The sequence below is a fragment of the Homo sapiens genome, chromosome 1, assembly GCF_000001405.40.
Source record: "Homo sapiens chromosome 1, GRCh38.p14 Primary Assembly".
NCBI lineage: Eukaryota > Metazoa > Chordata > Mammalia > Primates > Hominidae > Homo > Homo sapiens.
The window spans coordinates 155,938,121-155,959,323 of NC_000001.11; the positions used below are offsets into that span (position 1 = coordinate 155,938,121).

The 21,203-nt window shown below is 50.6% G+C and overlaps 2 protein-coding genes and 1 non-coding gene across 8 annotated transcripts in view, besides 3 other annotated features; 1 reads left to right on the plus strand and 2 right to left on the minus strand.

Moving 5' to 3' along the window:
- Positions 2,958-3,252: a silencer, noted in NCBI's record as "tiled region #2022; HepG2 Repressive DNase matched - State 1:Tss". NCBI's record gives its function as "represses a minimal TATA promoter and a strong SV40 promoter by Sharpr-MPRA in HepG2 cells {active_cell/tissue: HepG2}" and the evidence as "EXISTENCE:reporter gene assay evidence [ECO:0000049][PMID:27701403]".
- RXFP4 (relaxin family peptide/INSL5 receptor 4) lies at positions 3,518-4,967 on the plus strand. Its single transcript, NM_181885.3, has one exon. The coding sequence runs from the start codon at positions 3,590-3,592 to the stop codon at positions 4,712-4,714; it is 1,125 nt and encodes a 374-aa protein (NP_871001.1). The 5' UTR covers positions 3,518-3,589; the 3' UTR covers positions 4,715-4,967.
- Positions 3,572-4,071: an enhancer, noted in NCBI's record as "H3K4me1 hESC enhancer chr1:155911483-155911982 (GRCh37/hg19 assembly coordinates)". NCBI's record gives its function as "activates a minimal SCP1, AML or CMV promoter by ChIP-STARR-seq in primed H9 embryonic stem cells {active_cell/tissue: H9 hESC(primed)}" and the evidence as "EXISTENCE:reporter gene assay evidence [ECO:0000049][PMID:30033119]".
- A 3,766-nt stretch (positions 4,968-8,733) lies between the features above and the next one.
- Positions 8,734-21,203, minus strand: part of ARHGEF2 (Rho/Rac guanine nucleotide exchange factor 2) — a 32,764-nt gene continuing 20,294 nt past the window's right edge. For 3 of the 6 annotated variants that reach the window (NM_001350112.2, NM_001350110.2, NM_001350111.2), the window contains exons 12-22: positions 20,200-20,276; positions 19,593-19,762; positions 16,782-16,849; positions 14,508-14,708; positions 13,996-14,115; positions 13,799-13,866; positions 13,621-13,656; positions 13,363-13,413; positions 12,709-13,152; positions 12,149-12,362; positions 8,734-9,895 (exon numbers count right to left, since the gene is read on the minus strand). In NM_001350112.2, the coding sequence (NP_001337041.1) occupies positions 9,822-9,895; positions 12,149-12,362; positions 12,709-13,152; positions 13,363-13,413; positions 13,621-13,656; positions 13,799-13,866; positions 13,996-14,115; positions 14,508-14,708; positions 16,782-16,849; positions 19,593-19,762; positions 20,200-20,276 (1,523 nt within the window). In that variant the 3' untranslated portion in view covers positions 8,734-9,821. The remainder of the gene's footprint in view (positions 9,896-12,148; positions 12,363-12,708; positions 13,153-13,362; positions 13,414-13,620; positions 13,657-13,798; positions 13,867-13,995; positions 14,116-14,507; positions 14,709-16,781; positions 16,850-19,592; positions 19,763-20,199; positions 20,277-21,203) is intronic. The other 3 variants (NM_001162384.2, NM_001162383.2, NM_004723.4) reach the window with 1 other exon arrangement.
- Positions 13,153-13,216, minus strand: MIR6738 (microRNA 6738). Its single transcript, NR_106796.1, has one exon. It is a non-coding gene; the product is annotated as a microRNA 6738 (primary transcript).
- Positions 20,788-20,927: a silencer, noted in NCBI's record as "silent region_1410". NCBI's record gives its function as "represses an Ori minimal core promoter by ATAC-STARR-seq in GM12878 lymphoblastoid cells {active_cell/tissue: GM12878}" and the evidence as "EXISTENCE:reporter gene assay evidence [ECO:0000049][PMID:35858748]".

Below are 21,203 nucleotides of genomic sequence, written 5' to 3' on the forward strand. Positions count from 1 at the left end.
ATTGACATATGAATCAATTATTCTTTCCTAGTGGTCATTTAGGTATTATTAGGTCATTTACTACCAACTCTAAAGCAGTGACACCATGGAGAGCACATAAAATCCATAGAGCTAGGTCCCATAACCTCTCTGTCAGTCTCCTCTCCTTGCTACTCCCCCTGTGTTTCAGTGGCACTTTCTAGCTAAGATTCAGTCCCCTTTTCTCCAGATGGTGGTGCTACATTCCCATACCTGTCTCCAGAGTATCTCCCTCAAACTCATTTAGATCAGCCCAACCTTGGAAAATGCCAAACCGGGTCATGCTCTTTTGGCCTAATATTCTTTCCCACAGCAGTAGGAGTTGTGATGGGAAAAAAAGAAAAGATGGAGGGTGGGCTTTCTCAGTGTCTCCAGTATTCACCACATCACCCCAGGGGTACTACCTCAAGCATTTATTGAATAATTTTTCCAAACAAGGAGATTTCCTGTGAGGGATTCTGATGTCACCTCTAAAAATAGTTTTAGAAATATTTTTCCACTTTCTTACAAGGGGAAATCTATCAAAAAGAATAATGGAGCAGCTATTCAAAAAGAATAATGGAGCAGCTATTCAAAAAGAATTAGAGTGTATAGCCCCATTTCTAGCCCCTATGAGGCCTGGCTATACTTTGTGCCATGTGCTTGGATTGCCATGAGGTTACCCAGTGTTTTTTTGTTTTTTGTGGGTTTTTTTTTTTTTTTGAGACGGGGGTCTCACTCTGTCACCCAGGCTGGAGTGCGGTGGCATGATCACAGCTCACTCCAGCTTTGACCTCCCAGTCTCAGGTGATCCTCCCACATCACAGGTGCCCGCCACCACGCCCAGCTAATTTTTTGTTGTTGTTGTTTTGTATTTTTAGTAGAGTAGCTGGAACCAAGTAGCTGGAACCACAGGCATGAACCACCATGCCTGGCTAATTTTTTGTTATCTTTTGTAGAGATGGGGTTTTGCCATGTTGCCCAGACTGGTCTTGAATTACTGGGCTCAAGCAATCCATTCGCCTCAGCCTCCCAAAGTGTCACCATGACCAGCTGATTTTTTTTTTTTTTTTTTTTTGAGACGGAGTCTCACTCTGTCGCCCAGGCTGGAGTGCAGTGGCACGATCTCGGCTCACTGCAAGCTCCACCTCCCGGGTTCATACCATTCTCCTGCCTCAGCCTCCCGAGTAGCTGGGACTACAGGCACCTGCCACCACACCCGGCTAATTTTTGTATTTTTTTTTTTTAGAGATGGGGTTTCACCATGTTAGCCAGGATGGTCTCGATCTCCTGACATGCCTGTAATCCCAGCACTTTGGGAGGCCAAGGCAGGAGGATCACCTGAGGTCATTTCAAGAATATTTTTGATGCTAGGCGTGGTGGCTTATGGCTGTAATCCCAGCACTTTGGGAGGGTGAGGTGAGAGGGTTGCTTGAGCCCAGGAGTTCAAGACAATCCTGGGCAACATAGGGATACCCCATCTCTCCTAAAAATACAAAAATTAGCCTGTGTGGTAGCACATTCCTGTGGCTGAGGTAGGAGGATCACCTGAGCCTGGGGAGGTCGAGGCACTGAGCCAAGATTGTGCCACTGCACTCCAGCCTGGGTGACAGAGTGAGACCTCTTCTCAACCAAAAAAAAAAGAAAAAAAGAAAAAAAATTTTTTTTTTTTTTTGAGATGGAGTCTCGCTCTGTCGCCCAGGCTGGAGTGCAGTGGTGTGATCTCAGCTCACCAAAATCTCTGCCTCCCGGGTTCAAGTGATTCTCCTGCCTCAGCCTCCCGAGTAGCTGTGATTACAGGCACTCGCCACCACGCGCCACTAATTTTGTATTTTTAGTAGAGACGGGCTTTCCCCATGTTGGTCAGGCTGGTCTTGAACTCCCGACCTCAGGTGATTCGCTCACCTCGGCCTCCCAAAGTGCTGGGATTACAGGCATGAGCCACCTCGTCTGGCCAAGCAGTTATCTTAATTGCCAGATTAGCAGGGTGATTCTGGGTGGGCAGAGGAGTAGACATGGCCCCGAGAGACAGTGATGACACAGTCACACAGGAGCAGCCATGAGGCCAGAAGGTAGCCTGTGGGGCTCACCTGACCTTGGGCTGGGCACTCCCCTTCTGCCACCCCCTTTATACTCATCCCTGGTTCGAAAGCCCCAACATGTTGGCACCCAGCCTGTATCACTCTCACCTCTGGGTTTCTCCTATGTGTTCACAAGCCCACTGCTGATTTATTGTCGCAAAGGGCCCCTCTCTTCCCTCAGCACTCCAAAGGAACTGAACATCGAACGTTATCTTAATTAGCTGGCAGAGGGCAAGAAGGGGCTGAATATATTGGAATCCTTGAGAAAGCCTTACTCTTTTACCTATCCACCTCCTGCCTTCTCTTTGTCCCCACCTCAGCTCCTTCTGCAGTAGGTAGAGATGTAGGCAATGAAAGGGGAGGGCCCAATGAAGCATTTTTTTTTTCCAGTTATGATTGAGATCATGGGGAGACAGGATGAGGTGTGGTGAGGGCGTATCTCAGGATCCTTAGCTCTGACATGGGGTTTGCAGGAGAGAGTAGGGGGACCGCTGAGCTCTGTCCACAGACTAGAGCAGGAAAGGGGGGAAAGGCGGCGATAGAGGTTAGCAGGAATGTTTAATTATCAGGAGCAGGAACAGAACTGAGGGCATGCCCAGGTCCACACAGGCCCTCATAGGCCCAGTGTTCCCAGTGGGGAGGAAACAGGAAGCTGTGACTTCCTCTCTCTTTTCCCTCCCTGCTCTTAGCCTCAAGGTCACTGCTGCTGAGATGAATTCCAACCTGTTTTAGTTGGCACTGTTCCCTGGGCATGGTAATAGCCTCTCAGTACCCTTCTGCCACAAACACCCCAAACTTCTCCTTTGAAATAATATTCATACAAATTGCTATTTCACATGTGTTCTCTCATTGCATCATGCCACTCCTGTGAAGCAGACTTACCTGAAAATTTTAAGCAAGAAAACAGGCTTAGGGGAGTAAAGTAACTCTCCCAGTCACACGGCTAGTGAGCAGCAGGTCTGGGACTCCGCAGCCTCCGCTCTTTCCTCTCTTGGACACCCATGCTGATTCCCTGCCTCTATGCCACCTCCCAGGCCCCTTGCTTTGGGCCCCAAGGGAACACTTTCTGCAGAGGAGGGAGGCCTCTGCACTGTTAGGAACAGAGGCAGCTCTAGTTTGGTTCCTGTCATCTCTGGGACAGGGAACCTCCAGCTCTCTCCCTGGGGTGGAGGCTTGGGGCTGCCCTCCATAGCGGGGTAACTCTCCCTTCTCCCCTCCCTCTCTGCCATTTAGAGCCCCTCTTACAGGCGGGCGCATGCACATATACCCTGGCATTCAGGCTGTGCCTCGCCCTGCCCCACCTACCACCAATCTTGACCAACAGGAAGGTGGTGGGTTGTCCTTTCCACACCCCTCCCTCTGAGGTGTGGGCGTGGGCCAGGGCTCACCAGAGGCCCCAGAGAAGCACTTAATTCTACAGCCTCCTTCCTAGAGCCTTCAGTGGCCTCTGCCAGTCTGGCAGACACTTGCAGACCTCTCTTCTCAGCACCACCAATCTCTGATGCCCTGCGATGCCCACACTCAATACTTCTGCCTCTCCACCCACATTCTTCTGGGCCAATGCCTCCGGAGGCAGTGTGCTGAGTGCTGATGATGCTCCGATGCCTGTCAAATTCCTAGCCCTGAGGCTCATGGTTGCCCTGGCCTATGGGCTTGTGGGGGCCATTGGCTTGCTGGGAAATTTGGCGGTGCTGTGGGTACTGAGTAACTGTGCCCGGAGAGCCCCTGGCCCACCTTCAGACACCTTCGTCTTCAACCTGGCTCTGGCGGACCTGGGACTGGCACTCACTCTCCCCTTTTGGGCAGCCGAGTCGGCACTGGACTTTCACTGGCCCTTCGGAGGTGCCCTCTGCAAGATGGTTCTGACGGCCACTGTCCTCAACGTCTATGCCAGCATCTTCCTCATCACAGCGCTGAGCGTTGCTCGCTACTGGGTGGTGGCCATGGCTGCGGGGCCAGGCACCCACCTCTCACTCTTCTGGGCCCGAATAGCCACCCTGGCAGTGTGGGCGGCGGCTGCCCTGGTGACGGTGCCCACAGCTGTCTTCGGGGTGGAGGGTGAGGTGTGTGGTGTGCGCCTTTGCCTGCTGCGTTTCCCCAGCAGGTACTGGCTGGGGGCCTACCAGCTGCAGAGGGTGGTGCTGGCTTTCATGGTGCCCTTGGGCGTCATCACCACCAGCTACCTGCTGCTGCTGGCCTTCCTGCAGCGGCGGCAACGGCGGCGGCAGGACAGCAGGGTCGTGGCCCGCTCTGTCCGCATCCTGGTGGCTTCCTTCTTCCTCTGCTGGTTTCCCAACCATGTGGTCACTCTCTGGGGTGTCCTGGTGAAGTTTGACCTGGTGCCCTGGAACAGTACTTTCTATACTATCCAGACGTATGTCTTCCCTGTCACTACTTGCTTGGCACACAGCAATAGCTGCCTCAACCCTGTGCTGTACTGTCTCCTGAGGCGGGAGCCCCGGCAGGCTCTGGCAGGCACCTTCAGGGATCTGCGGTTGAGGCTGTGGCCCCAGGGCGGAGGCTGGGTGCAACAGGTGGCCCTAAAGCAGGTAGGCAGGCGGTGGGTCGCAAGCAACCCCCGGGAGAGCCGCCCTTCTACCCTGCTCACCAACCTGGACAGAGGGACACCCGGGTGAAGGGCGCAAGCTGAACACACTCCTCTTTCTGAGATCCACCAAGTGTAGGATCCTTGAGTCCTGGGGAGAAGCTGCCCTCTCTGCCAGGCTGCAGTGCCCTCAGGGAAAAGTCTGATCTTTGATCCCCAACTCTGGGTGTGGTGAATGGGGGAGGCGGGGGCTCAGATCAGAGCTGGATGTGACAAAGCTTAAGTCTTTATTTGGAGATGGGAAAGAAGAGGATCTGAGAATAAACCTCTGGATTATCCACAAATTGTCTTGACCTTTTATCCCAGTTCCACCTCCAGTTCAGTATGGAACAAAAGGATTCGTTGCTCCATTTCTGCTTTCTGCAAGAATACCTAGGAAAACTTCCCTAAGGGTTCTAGGCTAATGAATCAGAGGTCAGTGCCCATCTCTCTCTGTACCCACCCCCCACCTCAAAACAGGGTATCCCTTGTCTTTCTCCGGTATCAAGGCCAAAAATGCCAGCTTCCCCTGTCCTCACCTTACCATCTCAGTGGTGACCACTGAAACTTGCTGCCTGCAGAGGCCTCAGCTGCAAAAGCTGTAGTTCCCTTGAAGGGATGCCAGGTGTGGGGTATTGCTGGAATTTCCAGCACCTGCCAGGCCCTGGGTGTAAAACCCTGGTGCTGACGGGAGTGCCTGTGTGTCTCCCTTTAAATCAGGATTTGAAAGAAGTGAAGATAATGACAAGTCAAAGACATGGGTGGGGTGAAGGGAGGTGAGCGATTAAAGAGGGGAGGGGGCTGGGAGAACAGGCTGCAGGTAGAGCCAGAAAAGCAGAGACCTCAGAAAGTGGTGCTAGTCCTCCCTGCCCCAAATGCAAAGCCCAGAGTATCAATTTGAGTGTCAGAGCACCTGGATTCACAGCTTTACCTCCAGCAAATTACTTTACCTCTTTGTACCTCACTGTTCTCAACTGTAAAATGGGCTACTAAAGATTTAACAGTGAAATATACTGTTAGCTATTATTCTTGTTTGTTTGTTTGTTTGTTTGAGACAGAGTCTCGTTCTGTCGCCCAGGCTGGAGTGCAGTGGTGTGATCTCAGCTCACTGCAACCTCCGCTTCCCGGGTTCAAGCGATTCTCCTGCCTCAGCCTCCCGAGTAGCTGGGACTACAGGCTCCCGCTACCATGCCTGGCCAATTTTTTGTAATTTTTAATAGAGACAGAGTTTCACCATATTGGCCAGGCTGGTCTCAAACTCCTGACCTCTAGTGATCTGCCCACCTCGGCCTCCCAAAGTGCTGGAGTTACAGGCGTGAGCCACCGCACCCGGTCGAGCTATTATTCTTACACCCTGTGTAAAATGGAGACAGAGAGATGGGAGGAAATAAGCGTGCAGCTGGGAGATGGGGATGGGGAACCATGTCTCAGCTGGAATGGTTGTATATGCTCTGAAGTGGGGTATAATGAAAGTCTCACATAAAGAACTCAGAGGTTGGCCCCTAAGCCCCTCTTGAAGGTGTGTTCTCCAGGACAGGGGTTCCTCTTTGGTTCCTGTATTGAGATGCATCAATGATAAAGGTTAGCCATCAGAAGGATTTTCTAGGAGGCAGCCCCTAGAAAGGAGGGAGGCAGAGGGAAGATGAGGTAGAGCTCCCACTTCCACTGCCCCCCCACCGCCCCCCGCCCCAAGCTCTCTGGCATGACTTGTAACCTATGAGGACGCAGGCTGCTCAGGCTCCTGGGGCAGCAGCTGGGAGCAGTGCCGCCTTATTAAGTGCAGAGCGCCCTGTGAAGGGGGAGGCCACAGTGCCTCCAGGTGCCCCCTGTCCCAGTTCCTTTAATTGCTGGGCAGAGGAGGCTCCAAAGAGGCACCCAATTCACAACAGATTAAGCAATGTGAAAGGAACTTAATTAGCCTCTTGTTTAATTTCCTCTTTTTGATGATGTTTAAACTAGTTCCAAAACTCCACGTCTATTCCTAGCCCATGCAGGCAATGGAAAATCCCTCACCACCTAAGCACCCATCTTCCCACCCCAGCAGCTCCCTCTGATGGCTTTGCTGGGCTCCGGATATTGGCTCCTCTGGGGGCATCTCTGCTTTATGGGCCCCAGAGGTAAATATTGACAAAGTGTACACAGGTCCAAGTTAGAGATGAACTGCATGCACAAAGACCTACTCTTGTGGGGGAGTGGAACGAGGAGGGTGCAGTGGAGGATGGAGAAGGGAGGGCTGGGCAGAGCAGGCGGCCTGGAGCTCCCCTTGGAACGGAGGGAAGGCAATGTTTTGGTGAGAACCTGGGCCCTGGCTCCCTGGAACACCAAGCCAAATGGCTTTGAAACTTCAGCAGGAGGGACAGAGGTTAAGACTGTGGGTTCCCAAAAGTGGGTTAGGGAGGGGACAGGGGACACAACGGTGAAAGATGTGAGGAAGAGGCCTAGCTCTCAGGAGTAGACACATCAGACAAATGCTTGTGCCCCATGTTCTGGGGCTGAAGGTGTGTGTGTGTGTGTGTGTGTGTGTGTGTGTGTGTGTGTGTGGAGGGGGTTGGTACGGGGTGGCAGAAGGGACAGCACTGCTTCAAAGAAAGCAGCGGGGGACTTCACACCCACTCTGGGCTGTGTCTCCAGGTTTCCATGTTCTCTGCTGACCAGCATCTCTCATTGGATCTGTGGGGCATTCTGGGAGAGCCTGCATTCCCCTTTCTTGGTGGTCTCTGCATGCTGTCTAATATCCTCACCCTACCCCCACCTACCTTCCTTCCCCACCTAAAGGTGCCACCCTCACAGCTCTGGGTCGGAGATACTTCCAGCTGACCTGGAAGACAGCTGCTGAGCCCTGTGTCCCTGTGTGTGAAATGTGAAGCCCTGGTGTTTTTTTTTTTTTCTTTTCTCCAGGCAGGGTCTTGCTCTGTCACCCAGGCTGGAGTGCTGGAGTGCAGTGGCACAATCTCGGCTCACTGCAACCTCTGCCTCCCGGGTTCAAGCAATTCTCCCACCTCAGCCTCCCAGGTAGCTGGGAATACAGGTGCCCGCCATCACGCCCGGCTAATTTTTGTATTTTTAGTAGAGATGGGGTTTCACCATGTTGGCCAGGCTGGTCTCGAACTCCTGGCCTCAAGTGATCCACCCAACTCAGCTTCCCAAAGTGCTGGGATTATAGGCGTGAGCCACTGCACCCAGCCAGCCCTGGTATTTTTAGGCAGAGTAGCCAAGAGAGAAAAGTGGTGGACTGGAACTAAGAAGGCCGGCCCCCTCCTGGCCTGGCAAGCTTCGTGCACCTAGGTTTCCCGGCCCATAAAATGAGAACAATTCCCCATTCTCAGGATCCCCGTAATGGCTGAGAAAGCACCTTGTAAAGGCTTGATGCTGGTGGATGAGAGTTACAGAAGGGGAGGGTGCTGGCTGCTCCCCCAGCCTGCTCCCCATGTGACTTCAATTCCTCTTTCTAGCTGAGGGCCTGAGCCCCCTTCTCCTGATCTGACCCCACAGGCTCCAACAGGGATGTGAATTCATACCAGCATTTATACAACCCTAGACTCTCACCTCCTCCCCTCCCCCACAGCCCCAAAGTAAGTACCAACTGGGAACAGGAAGTAAAACCAACTAAAACCAAGAACTGAAACCAGCTCATCTCTCACTGCCTCTCAAAGAGGGACAGTAAATGAGCAGCTCCTGTGACGGGTAACCCCAGGGCCCGACATCATGGAGATCAACAAGGGCCTAGTGGGGGATGGATCTGACAATGAATGACACTGGGGATGGGGGCAATAGGTGGAGGTGATTGCTGAGCATGGCATACAAATACGATGAACACACTTTTCCTGATACCGGAATTCCCAACATTGGAACCTGTGTGCCCCTTTGTTTTTATCCTTGTATTTGTGAATTAAAAAAACAAAAAAAAGATTTGCAGTGGTTACTTTTGTTAGTGCCCCCTCTCTTCAGTGAGGCAGAGGCTGTCCTTGCGGTGAGAGGAAAAGGCCCCTTTCAGAGGAACTTAGGTCACTGCCCGGCTCTCTACTACCATCCTCCTCAGAATTGGCAGACATTATGGAAGACAGTACCTTATGGAGTTCCAGGTTTTTAATTTTCCCTGAATTTTTTTTTTAAACAACAAAATTGGCAAGAAGAAAATTCTTCGACATTTGGGGGCTGGTCGACATTTGGGGGCAAGGGTTCCACTGAAAAATCCCCCAAATTCACGCTGAGGTTTCAGGTCATGGTTGCTGAGGTGGAAGATGAGGTCAGGGCTCTTGGAGATTTTCCAACCCACCCTAGAACTTGTTTCTAAATGGCTGGGGAAGAGGTCAGTATAGGTCCCCCCGTTACTGCAGATGAAGGCAGAAGTCATTCTCTCCCCCACCCCTCAACTTCTTCAGAGATGTGGAGATAGGAGGCTTCGATCTCTAATTGCCTACGATCTCTTAAAAATATAAAACACGTGCAGTTGACTTTGGTACAAAAAAGAAAACAAAAGAACAACAAAACATTCTGGTCCCTGTGGGTTTTTTCCCTCACCCCCAACAAACCATTATGGCCACCCCAACCTTTATTCCATCAACTCCAGGAAGCCAGGTTATCTCCCAGGGCTTCCATGAAGGACGGAGAAAGGGAGAACAGCAGTAAGAGGTTGAGGGGAGAGGAGAAAGGGACATGGCCCTGCCCACAGCCCTCCTTTATTTAAAGGGCAGTAGGGTGCTGTGGCTGCAGCCTCTCCTCCAAGACGGATGTTGCAGGGGAGGGCCGTTAGGGCAAGAACCCAGCAGCTGCGTGGATGAGCCTGAATATACCCCAGTAGTGTTCAAGGACAAGGCCCTCTGATCCCTATGGCTTGGTTCCCATGTCCCTGGTCCTTTAAATCTCCCCTCTCCCCCCATAACTAATAAACAATAAATAAATAAATTTTCCTAAAGTTGCGGGAAGAAGGCATGAACCACTGGCATCTGTGGTGTAGCTTTCGGATGTCCCAGGGGGTGTTGTGGCCTAATTCCCCTAGCTTCTTAAATGGCCCCAGGTATCCAAGGATCCCAAGAGCTGGCAAGGACAATTTGCAGTTCTTTCAAATGTTCCCTCATCATTGGCAAATTGGAGTCCCCAAGGTTAGCCCCCTCAGTAATGTTCTTCAGTGGGGCACGGGGCAGGGGGGAGGGGCCCCCTTAGCTCTCGGAGGCTACAGCCTCCCCGTCGCGGCTCTCCGTCTCCTCCGGGATGTCCTGCATTCTGGTAAAGTCTGAAGGGGGACAGGACAAAGCCAGTGAGTTAGCAGAGACTCCCATGAGGAACTGTACCCCTAGACTAATGCCTCCCCATCTGCAGGCTCAGGGGGCTCTGGGGCTGTGAAGGGATGACAGGGTTCTGTAAATTCTTGGGTGAGAGGAAAACCTTTGGCAACAAAGTAAGCAAGGTATCCATACCTAGGTACCGGATACACTTTTACAGTATCCAAAGATACAATTTGATTAGGAAAATACAAAATACTTTAAGGTTAAAGCTTTTGGTAATTTTTTATTTCATGAACCAACTGTAAAAACTTGAAGTTCTTTGAAACTTTTTTTACTTTAAAAACTGGCCCCATGGCTCGTGCTTATAATCCTAACACTTTGGGAGGCTAAGGTGGGAGAATCACTTAAGGCCAGGAGTTGGAGACCAGCCTGGCCAACATGGTGAAACCCCATCTCTACTAAAAATGCCAAAAATTAGCTATATGTGGTGGCATGCGCCTGTAATCCCAGCTACTCGGGAGGCTGAGGAACAAGAATTGCTTGAACTTGGGAGGTGGAAGTTGCAGTGAGCTGAGATTGTGCCACTACACTCCAGCCTGGGTGACAGAGCAAAACTGTCTCAAAAAAAACAAAACAAAACAAAACAAAAAACTATACCTTCCCAGGCACAGTGGTATGTACCTGTAGCCCCAGCTACTTGGGAGGATCACTTAAGCCCAGGAGTTTGAGTCCAGCCTCGGCAACAGCACAAGACCCTCTCTCTAACATAAAAAATTTTAGAGTGAGATCCTCTGTCTGGGTCTCCGGGTCTCTTTCTGTCGCCCAGGCTGGAGCAATCACGGAGTACTGTCAACTCAACCTGCTGGGCTCAAGTGATCCTCTCACCTCACTCTCACTCTCCGTAGCTAGGACTACAGGCTCACTCCACCACACCTGGCTAATTAAAAAAATTTTGGGGGACCAGGCACGGTGGCTCACACCTGTAATCCCAGCACTTTGGGAGGCCAATGTGGGTGAATCACCTGAGGCCAGGAGTTCGAGACCAGCCTGGCCAACATGGTGAAACCCCATCTCTACTAAAAAATACAAAAAAAATTAGCCAGGTGTGGTAGTGCATGCCTGTAAATCCCAGCTACTCGAGAGGCTGAGGCAGGAGAATCACTTGAACTCAGGAGGTGGAGGTTGCAGTGAGCTGAGATTGTGCCACTGCACTCCAGCCTGGGTGACAGAGTGAGACTCCATCTTAAATAAATAAATAAATAAAATAAAATAAAATAAAATAAAATAAAATAGACCGGGTGCAGTGGCTCACATCTGTAATCCCAGCACTTTGGGAGGCCAAGGCAGGCGGATCATGAGGTCAAGAGATTGAGACCAGACTGGGCAACATGGTGAAACCCTATCTCTTCTAAAAATACAAAAATTAGCTGGGCGTGGAGGCATGTGCCTGTAGTCCCAGCTACTCGGGAGTCTGAGGCAGGAGAATCACTTGGACCTGGGAGGCGGAGGTTGCAGTAAGCGGAGATCTCACTACTGTACTCCAGCCTGGCGACAGAGTGAGAATTCCATCTCAAAAAAAAAAAAAATTTAGCCAGGCGTGGTGGCTCATGCCTGTAATCCCGACACTCTGGGAGGCCAAGACAGGTGGATCGCGAGGTCAGCCGTTCAAGACCAACCTGGCCAACATAGTGAAACCCCATTTCTACTAAAAATACAAAAATTAGCTGGGCGTGGCGGTGGGCGCCTGTAATCCTAGCTACTTGGGAGGCTGAGGCAGGAGAATCGCTTGAACCTGGAAGGCAGAGGTTGCAGTGAGCCAAGATCACGCCACTGCACTCCAGCCCAGGCAACAGTGCAAGACTCCATCTCAAAAAATAATAATGAAATAAATTAATTAAATAAAATAAAAAAATAAATAAATGAATTTTTTTTTGTAGAGAAGGTGGGTCTCACTATGTTGCCCAGGCTGGCCTCAAAATTCTGAGCTCAAGCGATCCTCCTGCCTTGGCCTCCCAAAGTGTTAGGATTACAGGCCTGAGCCGCCATGCCTTTTTAAAAAAGAATCTGTTTTTACTTCTAAAGGTTGGGAATCACCAACCAGTTGGAGGAGAGAGGCCCCTCCTGCTTCCTAGACTTCCACCACCCATTCATCATCAGACAAAACAGGAAGTCCCTCCCTAGAGTTACTACAAGCCTCACAGGTCAGTTAGGGCCCATTTGGAAGCCACAGCCCAATGGCCTGTACCCAGGCTGCACTCTACCTCTGGTCCATGTCTCCGCCAGGGTCTCACCTCGTGGACTGTGGGGCGGAGACAGACGGCTGCTACCTTCCTCCTCGCTGCCAGTGTCAGGGTCACTGCTGTCTTGCAGCCGCTCTTCGGGGCTCCCCAGTTCCTGCCTCTCTCGGTCCTCAAAGTTTCGATGGACAGAGCGAGTAGTGACAGGTAGATCCAGGCGGTCAGTGCCTCGGCTGGGCTGTGGACAGTGGGCAGGAAGAACAGCAGGTCAGGGACTGAGTAGTGTGAAGATTGGAGGTTCTGCTTGGCTGAAGGCAGCAGCTCTCCCCCCTGGGGCTCACCCATGAGTCCCCTTCAGGAGATCCACCACCAACTGGCCTCTTTCAGCACCACGACCCGAGTTAATTTCCTCCACCCCTGCACCCATCTACATTTCTTTTCAGTTCTCCAACCAGTATCTCAATATCCTTCAAGTCAGTTGACTGATTGCATTTGGGCTCAAATCCCCAATGGCCCAATTTCTTTCGGGCTCCATGGACCCTTATGTCCACCCCAGGTCCATTCACCACTGCAGGCCACCTTACCTGTGGGGGGTTGAAACTCAAGTACAGGGCATCGCCTGCGGGGAGGCTGCGCCGCCGAGGATCCACAGGTCTGCGGGCCCAGGGGGCCTCAGCTGGGAGTGGCTCGGTCTGGCCCAGGGCGGCCAGCTGCCTTCGAGCCTCTTCGGCCTCACGCTCCAGCAGTGCCCGGGCCTGCTCACTCTCCCGGAGCCGGGCCTCCAGGCTGCCAGCTTCGGTTGCCCGTTCTTCACCTAGCCGCCGGCAGCGCCGTAGCTCCTCCTGCAGCAGCGCATGTTGCCGCTGCAGTAATGCCAGTTCCGTGGCCTGCTTTTCAGGGGCCACAGGGGCAGCCCCAGCCCTGCCAGCCTCCCCATCCCGAGAGTTGGCTCGGCACAGCTTCTCCCGCCGCTCAGGGCCCTCAGGGAACCGGGCTTCCATCAGAGTGTCCTGCTGGGCCACAGCTGCCTGGGAGTAGAATGCAGGCAGAAGGGTTTATCAGAACCCCTGTGCTCTTCTACCCCTCGCCTTCACCCTCCAAGGCCCAGATCATCGCTCCTGGAGAGCTTGGATTGGGAGGGTATTTAGAAAGGCCTGTTGGGATGACCATGCCCCACCTAAACAGGCATCTCTAGCCTGGCTCCTCCCCTTCCCCATTCAAGCCCTTGTCCTACTGACCTGTAGGCCATGTAGAAGTCCATAGAGATTGACCAATCGCTGTAACGCCTCCTGAGGACAGACAGGGTGGGAACAGGGCCCCAGCTTTAGGATGGGAGAACTGCCCAAAAGTTGAACAAGGGTGGGTGTGGGGACAGTAGGATCCGGAGACATACTTGAATGTAGACGCTTTCCCCACCCCACTCCAAACTGGGCTCTAACTACTCAGACTAAGAACATCCTCCCTTCAGTCTCCTATACCATCAATTCCCATCTCACCTCTTGCGGTGATCTCAGCTGATTTCCATTTCGATCCTGCAGAAATGGGCAAGAATGGGGAGTCAGCAGGCACACAAATCCTGGGTGCCTGCCCCTGACAGCTTTGTGTTGAGGATCCAGAGGCTGGCTGTCCCTCTCCCACCCTCTTGCCAAGTCCCAGAACCTCTTGAGGACCTACCCTCTGGCTAGAGTCTGAGTCAGCTCTGCAGAGTTCAATGGAGCCATTGAAGGTTCTGGCCTCACCATCTGTTGAGAAGGAGAAAAGGATGGCTGAGCTCACTTCCCTGGGGCCCTGATACCACTTGATCCCTGGTACCACTCTACTAACTTTGGCCCCTCCCACCTACTACCTTGGTCCCCTGCCCTGGTACTCACTGGCAGTGACCCCAGGACTCGTGTTACCACCGCTGTCTGGTTCCAAGGGCAGGGCTGGCTCTCGGGGTGTCAAGAGCAGTTCCACTCCTGGCCCCACCAGCAGGTCTTTCAGACCCTCCACTGTGGGGAAAGAGGAAGAGGTGAGAACAGGAATGACACAGGACCCTGAGGGGAATGCCATTCACCCCCACATGTGGGACACTTGGGCATCTGGGGGAATGCCCCCTGCACTGGCAGTGGGGTTTCACTCACACAACCACTGATGAGGTAAAGGGCAGTAAATGCCTACGAGGCAGCAGAGTCCATGCAGCATGGACGATATGGAGCAGCAGCAAGGACCACACCTCCTCCCCTGCCTTTCCCAGGAACTGGCCCAGAAGAGGCACTCAGGGCCGTTTATGGTTTATAGGGTTGGCATCCCACTTGTCTGTGTTTGTCCATGTCTAGTCACATGTCCACATTCTGTGACGGTGAGTGCTTGAGCCTGGACTCTTCCCTGGGAGCTCCCTCACCCTCACGGATGGCATCCTGCAGCAGCCGCTCGCCACGAGGGGACTCAAGGGACTCAGAGCGGAAAAGGCCCCTGGGCAGGGTGGGCAGGGCCATCCCACTGCCACCATCCTCTTCGGCCTGGAAATGGGTCATCTCAGCAAACAGCCCGACCTTCTCTCGCAGCAGCTCCACCAGTGCCCGGTCCTTCTGCTGCAACTCCACTGCAGATAAGGAACAAGTGAGGACATGAGAGGACGTAGGGGTATGCAAGAGCGCCAGTAGAGGACAGCCCTAGGGGAGAGGGGTAGGGTGGGGCAGTGTGGCAGACTTAATTTTGTTATTTTGGCATTTATAAAAAAGAAAAAGCTTTCTGTTGGTCAGGTGTAGTGGCTCACACCTGTAATCCCAGCACTTTGGGAGGCCAAGGCAGGTGGATCGCTTGAGGCCAGGAGTTCAAGACCAGCCTGGCTAACATGGCAAAACCCTGTCTCTACTTAAAATACAAAAATTAGCCAGGTGTGGTGGCACGCGCCTGTAGTCCCAGCTACTCAGGAGGCTGAGGCACAAGAATCGCTTGAACCCAGGAGGCAGAGGTTGCAGTGAGGCCGAGATCACACCACTGCACTCCAGCCTGGGCGACACAGCAAGACTCTGTCTCAAAAAAAAAAAAAAAAGATTTGTGGAAGGGGTTGCAGGTTGTCCAACAGTGTTCATTCTTTCCATCTTCCTTTAATGAGAAAATGCATAGAAGTTTCATCTGGGCACACATGGCTGCCCAGTTAACAACTATGTTTTCCAGCCTGACTTGCACGTGACTATATTGCTACATGACTACATTCTGGCCAATGGATATGAGCATCTTCCAGATCTGCTCTTAAAAGAAATGGGTATAGGCTGGGCATGGCAGGTGGATCACTTGAGGCCAGGAGTTCGAGACCAGCCTGGCCAACATGGTGAAACCCTATCTCTACTAAAAATACAAAAATTAGCCAGGAGTGGTGGTGGATGCCTGTAATCCCAGCTCCTTGGGAGGCTGAGGCAGGAGAATCACTTGAACGTGGGAGATGGAGGTTGCAGTGAGTCGAGATCACGCCACGCCACTGCACTCCACCCTGGGCGACAGAGCAAGACCCTGTCTCAAAAAAAAAAAAAAAAAAAAGAAAGAAAGAAAAAGAAAAAAGGGTATAAACTCTATTCCTTTACTCCTCCTTGCTAGGTGTGATACAGGTGTGACAGTGGGAGCTGGAGTAGCCACTTCAGACATGACATAGAGATGAAAACTTCATGTTAAAGATGGCAGAGCTGCACCACTACTCTGCACTTCCCACTTTGAACTGTTATGTTGACAGCAATAATATTCTACCTTGTTGGGGTTTTTTTTGTTGTTGTTGTTACCCAGACTGGAGTGCAGTGGTGCAATTATAGTGTATTACAGCCTTGAACTCCTGGGCTCAAACAATCCGCCCACCTCAGCCTCCCGAGTAGCCAGGACTACAGGTGTGTACCATCATGCCTAGCTATTTTTTTTTTTTTAATTTTTTGTAGAGACAGGGTCTTGCTATGTATGTTTTGTTGCCCAGACTGGTCTCGAACTCCTGACCTCAAGAGATCCTCCTGTCTCCCAAATCCTTCTGGGATTAAAGGCGTGAGCCACTGCATCCAGCCAATCTACTTCTTTTTTTTTTTTTTTTTTTGAGATGGAGTCTCCCTCTGTTGCCCAGGCTGGAGTGCAGTGGCGTGATCTCAGCTCACTGCAAGCTCCGCCTCCCAGGTTCATGCCATTCTCCTACCTCACTCTCCTGAGTAGCTGGGACTACAGGCACCCGCCACCACCCCCGACTAATTTTTTTTTTGTATTTTTTAGTAGAGACGGGGTTTCACCGTGTTAGCCAGGATGGTCTCAATCTCCTGACCTCGTGATCCGCCCACCTCGGCCTCCCAAAGTGCTGGGATTACAGGCGTGAGCCACCGCGCCCGGCCAATCTACTTCCTTTTTTAAGGAAGAAGATTTTTGTGGTCTTTTAGTATAGCAGTTAAATCATACCCTAACTAATATAAGGCCTTACAGTGAAAAAGTAAGTTACTCACCCAACCTTGGTCTTCCATATTATTTTTACACACATGGTAGTATACACTTTACATTGTTTTAAACCTTGCTTTTTTCACTTAATATGTTTCAGTTGTGGATCTACACCAGCCCTCATAGAGCCATCTCATCTTTTTAACAGTTGCATAATATTCCATTGTGTGAATGTATTATAAATTACTAAGGAGCTCCTTGTGGGTGGACTTACTCTTAATTCGCCGCAGGTAAGCCTCATCCTCTGTCTCAATCAGGGGGAAGTCCTCCCTGGATGGGCATCTGGAGGGGTAACAGGTCGCATGCCATTGAGAGACAGAAGCTAGGTTATAGACCAGAATCAGCCTTCCCTCCTTCCCAAACATGCCTTATGCTTCCATCTTCTGATAAGACTCCTCAGCCTCACACCCTAGCTTTAATTTAGTCCTGACCTTCTCCCTTTTCTTTCTTTTTTTTTTGAGACGGAGTCTTACTCTGTCACCCAGGCTGGAGTGCAAGGGCGCTATCTCAGCTCACTACAACCTCCTCCTGGGTTCAAGTGATTCACTTGTCTCAGCCTCCTGAGTAGCTAGGATTACAGGCACGCACCACCATGCCTGGCTAATTTTTGTATTTTTAGTAGACATGGGGTTTCGTCACGTTGGCCAGGCTGGTCTCAAACTCCTGACCTCAGGTGATCCTCCGCCTCCCAAAGTGCTGGGATTACAGGCATGAGCCACCGCGCCCGGCCGACCTTCTCCCATTTCTTAGCACTGATTATCTGCGTTTACTGAGATATATCTCTCCAAAGGTCGCTTGGAAAGGCAGCACAGTGCAGAGGGTCAAGTACAGGCTTTGGCATCAAGCAAACAGGATGCAAATCCTGGCTCCACTGTTTACCAGGTGGTAACCTCTCTATTTCCTCATTTGAAAAATGAAGGTAATATCTTCCTCATAGGTTTTTCATTAGGATTAAATGAAATGTTAAAGTGCTTTGAACATAACAGAAGCTCAACAAATCAATTACAATTAATATTATTAATTTCCACAATTATAATTTTTTTTTTGAGAGAGAGTCTTGCACTTTCGCCCAGGCTGGAGTCCAGTGACAGGATCTTGGCTCACTGCAACCTCTGCCTCCCAGGTTCAGGTGATTCTCCTGCCTCAGTCTCCCAAGCAGCTGGGACTACAGGCACGCACCACCATGCCTGGCTAAGTTTTATATTTTTAGTAGAGACAGGGTTTCGCCATGTTGGCCAGGCTGGTCTCGAACTCCAGTGGTCCGCCTGTCTCAGCCTCCCAAAGTGCTGGGATTCCAGGTGTGAGCCACAGCGCCTGGCCACAATTATAAATATTAATACTATTAATAAAGAAGCCACTACAGATCTGTCAACAGGACAGGTTATTTTGAACTGCTTTCTTGGAATAGGCAATTTCATAATTTTTTTTTGGAGATGGAGTCTCACTCTGTCACCTAGGCTGGAGTGCAGTGGCACAATCCTGACTCACTGCAACCTCCACCCCCGGGTTCAAGCGATTCTCCTGCCTCAGCTTCCCGCGTAACTGGGATTACAAGCTTATGCCACCACGCCCGGCTAATTTTTGTATTTTTAGTAGAGACGAGGTTTCACCATATTGGCCGGGCTGGTCTTGAACTCCTGACCTCAAGTGATCTACCCGCCTCAGCCTCTCAAAGTGCCGGGATTACAGGCGTGAGCCACTGTGCCTGGCCTGCAATTTCATACTTTTATATGCATTTCTAAAAACCTTTTCAAAATTCCATGGTGCAGAAGTTAAAAAAAAAAAAAGGTTTACAAATTATAAAGTTGAGAACTGATTCCCTGAAAGCTAAAGAAAAATTATAAAAATCTTGGCTGGGCATGGTGGCTAATGCCTGTAATCTCAGCTCTTTTGGAGGCTGAGGTGGGCGGATAAATCTGAGATCAGGAGTTCGAGACCAGCTTGGTCAACATGGCAAAACCCCGTCTCCACTAAAAATACAAAAATTTGGCTGGGTGCAGTGGCTCATGCCTGTAATCCCAGGACTTTGGGAGGCTGAGGCGGGTCGATTACGAGGTCAAGATATCAAGACCATCCTGGCCAACATGGTAAAACCCCGTCTCTACTAAAAATACAAAAATTAGCTGGGCATGGTGGCGTGAGCCTGTAGTCCCAGCTACTCAGGAGGCTGAGGCAGCCCGGCAACAGAGACTCTGTCTCCAAAAAAAAAAAAAAAAAAAAAAAATTTGCCTGGGGTCGTGGTGGGCACCTGTAGTCCCAGCTATTTGGGAGGCTGAGGCAGGAGAATCGCTTGAATCCAGGAGGTGGAGGTTGCAGTGAGCTGAGAGCGAGACTCTGTCTCAAAAAAAATTAAAAAAAAAAAAGAAAGAAAACCTGTAAAAATCTGAATTAGAATTACACTTACACTTCATTCTTTAGGCATAATCTTCCAGAATCCATTTTAAACATCTTACCTGTGCTTTATTTGATGTTTTTTCCCATCACAATTAGACACATAGTTGACTGCCTCAAATCTAATGTGTGTCCAATAGAAGCTAAAGATTTGCTGCTTTGACACACTGATTTCCTTCTTGCTTCTATTGTGTTGAGTCTGTTTATGAGACTTGTTCCTCTCTAGTATCGATGCTTTCATTATCCTCTTTTTCATTCATTTTTAGAAAAATAAATGTAAAATACAATACAATCCAAATAACAGCCCTCTGCCTACAGATGAACATGTGAATGCAGCTGAAATTGTACTGTTGGCTGGCAGGTATGCCACCATGTGACAGCTCAAAGTATTCCCTTGCTTGTCAGCTCATGCTGAATTTGAAAGGGAGTTGAGGTTGGCAATGTATAAAATGTGGCTTTACAGGACATAAGAACATAGGTGACCTTTCCAGTCTTGGGCCATTTTGTCTCTCCCTCAACCTCTTCCCCCACCTCTGAATGCTGGATTCTGTTCCCAGGGAGTTCTATGGTTGGGATCTAATGCTGCAGGTACCCTGAGGTCATAAGCACATGCAGGCGGCAGGCAGACACTCACGTGCGCACGCTCTGCTGAATGACCCGGATCCAGGTGCTCCGGTCATCCCGGGATGCTGTGTGCACCTCGTACATCTCAGGTGGGGCTGCGCTGATCAGAAACATCCCTTTCTCCTGGTTGGCAATGTCTCGTACGATTAGATTCTGCAGCGATACCACTGAAGGCTTGTCCTGCCAGTCAGGGGAAAGGAAGGATTAAGCCTGGGAATCCTGTCCCTTGGCATATTTAGGCCTTCAATCCTTCTGGACGAGGACTGAAAGGACTGAAGAGTCATCTTACAATACCAGTTAAGAGCCAGGCACTGGTGCCAGCCAGAAGGGACTTAGAAATGTGTGCAACCCTTGACAAATTATTTAACTGACTTGAAGCTTTACTTTCATCATCTATAAAATGAGGACGAAAATAATCTTTTCCCACAGGTGTAAAAGTGCCTGTGCACAGTAACAGTACCTGTGAGCTGCTCTTATTTTTTATTATTACGGTAATAGTAACAATTATAGCTGTTTGACTCTGGGGGACTCCAGAGCTCTCGTGGGCTTGGGCAGGAAAGCAAGAAGAGACTAAAACACTTGTCTGTGCTGAGAAAGGTGAAGAATGAATGTCTCACCAGGGTAGGAAAGATGTACTTCTGGTCCTTTTCCTGGAGAAACACCAGTACATCTGTCATCAGCAGCACTAGCACATCTGGAAGGGGATGAAGGTGGGAGAACAGTCAGCACTAGACGGTCTGAGCAGCTGCTTCCCTCTTTCCCAAGGACCAGGCTTATCCCATCAGGTTAGAGCTCCCAGTTTCCCTCTTCCTGGCCTCTCTTCCCTCTGGCTGCTTGCACTTTTTCAGACCTCTCACACCTCACCCATTCTATTTTTTTTTTTTTTTTTTGATACAGAGTTTTCATCTTGTTGTTCAGGCTGGAGTGCAATGGTGCAATCTTGGCTCACTGCAACCTCCGCCTCCCGGGTTCAAGCGATTCTCCTACCTCAGCCTCCCAAGGAGCTGGGACTACTACAGGCGTGTGCCACCATGCCCGGCTAATTTTGTATTTTTAGTAGAGACGGGGTTTCACCATGTTGGTCAGGCTGGTCTCAAACTCCTGACCTCAGGTTTATCCACCAGTTTCGGCCTCCCAAAGTGCTGGGATTACAGATATGAGCCACCGCGCCTGGTCACACATTCTTACAGCTTAAAAACAGTGTGGGTGGGGGGTGGGGGGCGGGCAGGGTGCAGAAAGATTCATGTGCTATCAGACAAAACAGCGTTGTGGGCTAGCAGGAACCACAGGGATCACTCAGTGTCTACAGAAAACCCTTTCTACCTGACTGATTCAGGTTTCTTAACCTAGGGCCTACAGACCCCCTGGGATGTCAGGCTTCAGTGGCTCTGTAAACCTTCTGAAGGTGTGTAAATAGTTTTACATATTAACATAACTCGTGTATTTTTTTGGGTGACAGGGTCCAAGATTTTTGTGAGATTCATAAGGTTCCCCAGAGCAAGAGGGACCATACTTTTATTTTTTATTTATTTTTAATTTAATTTGATTCTATTATTATTTTTTTGAGACGGAGTCTCACTCTGTCGCCTAGGCTGGAGTGCAGTGGTGCCATCTTGGCTCA

Bases quoted from the DNA above. Each gene is read 5' to 3' on its own strand.
- RXFP4 (NM_181885.3), top strand. From the start codon at position 3,590: ATGCCCACACTCAATACTTCTGCCTCTCCACCCACATTCTTCTGGGCC.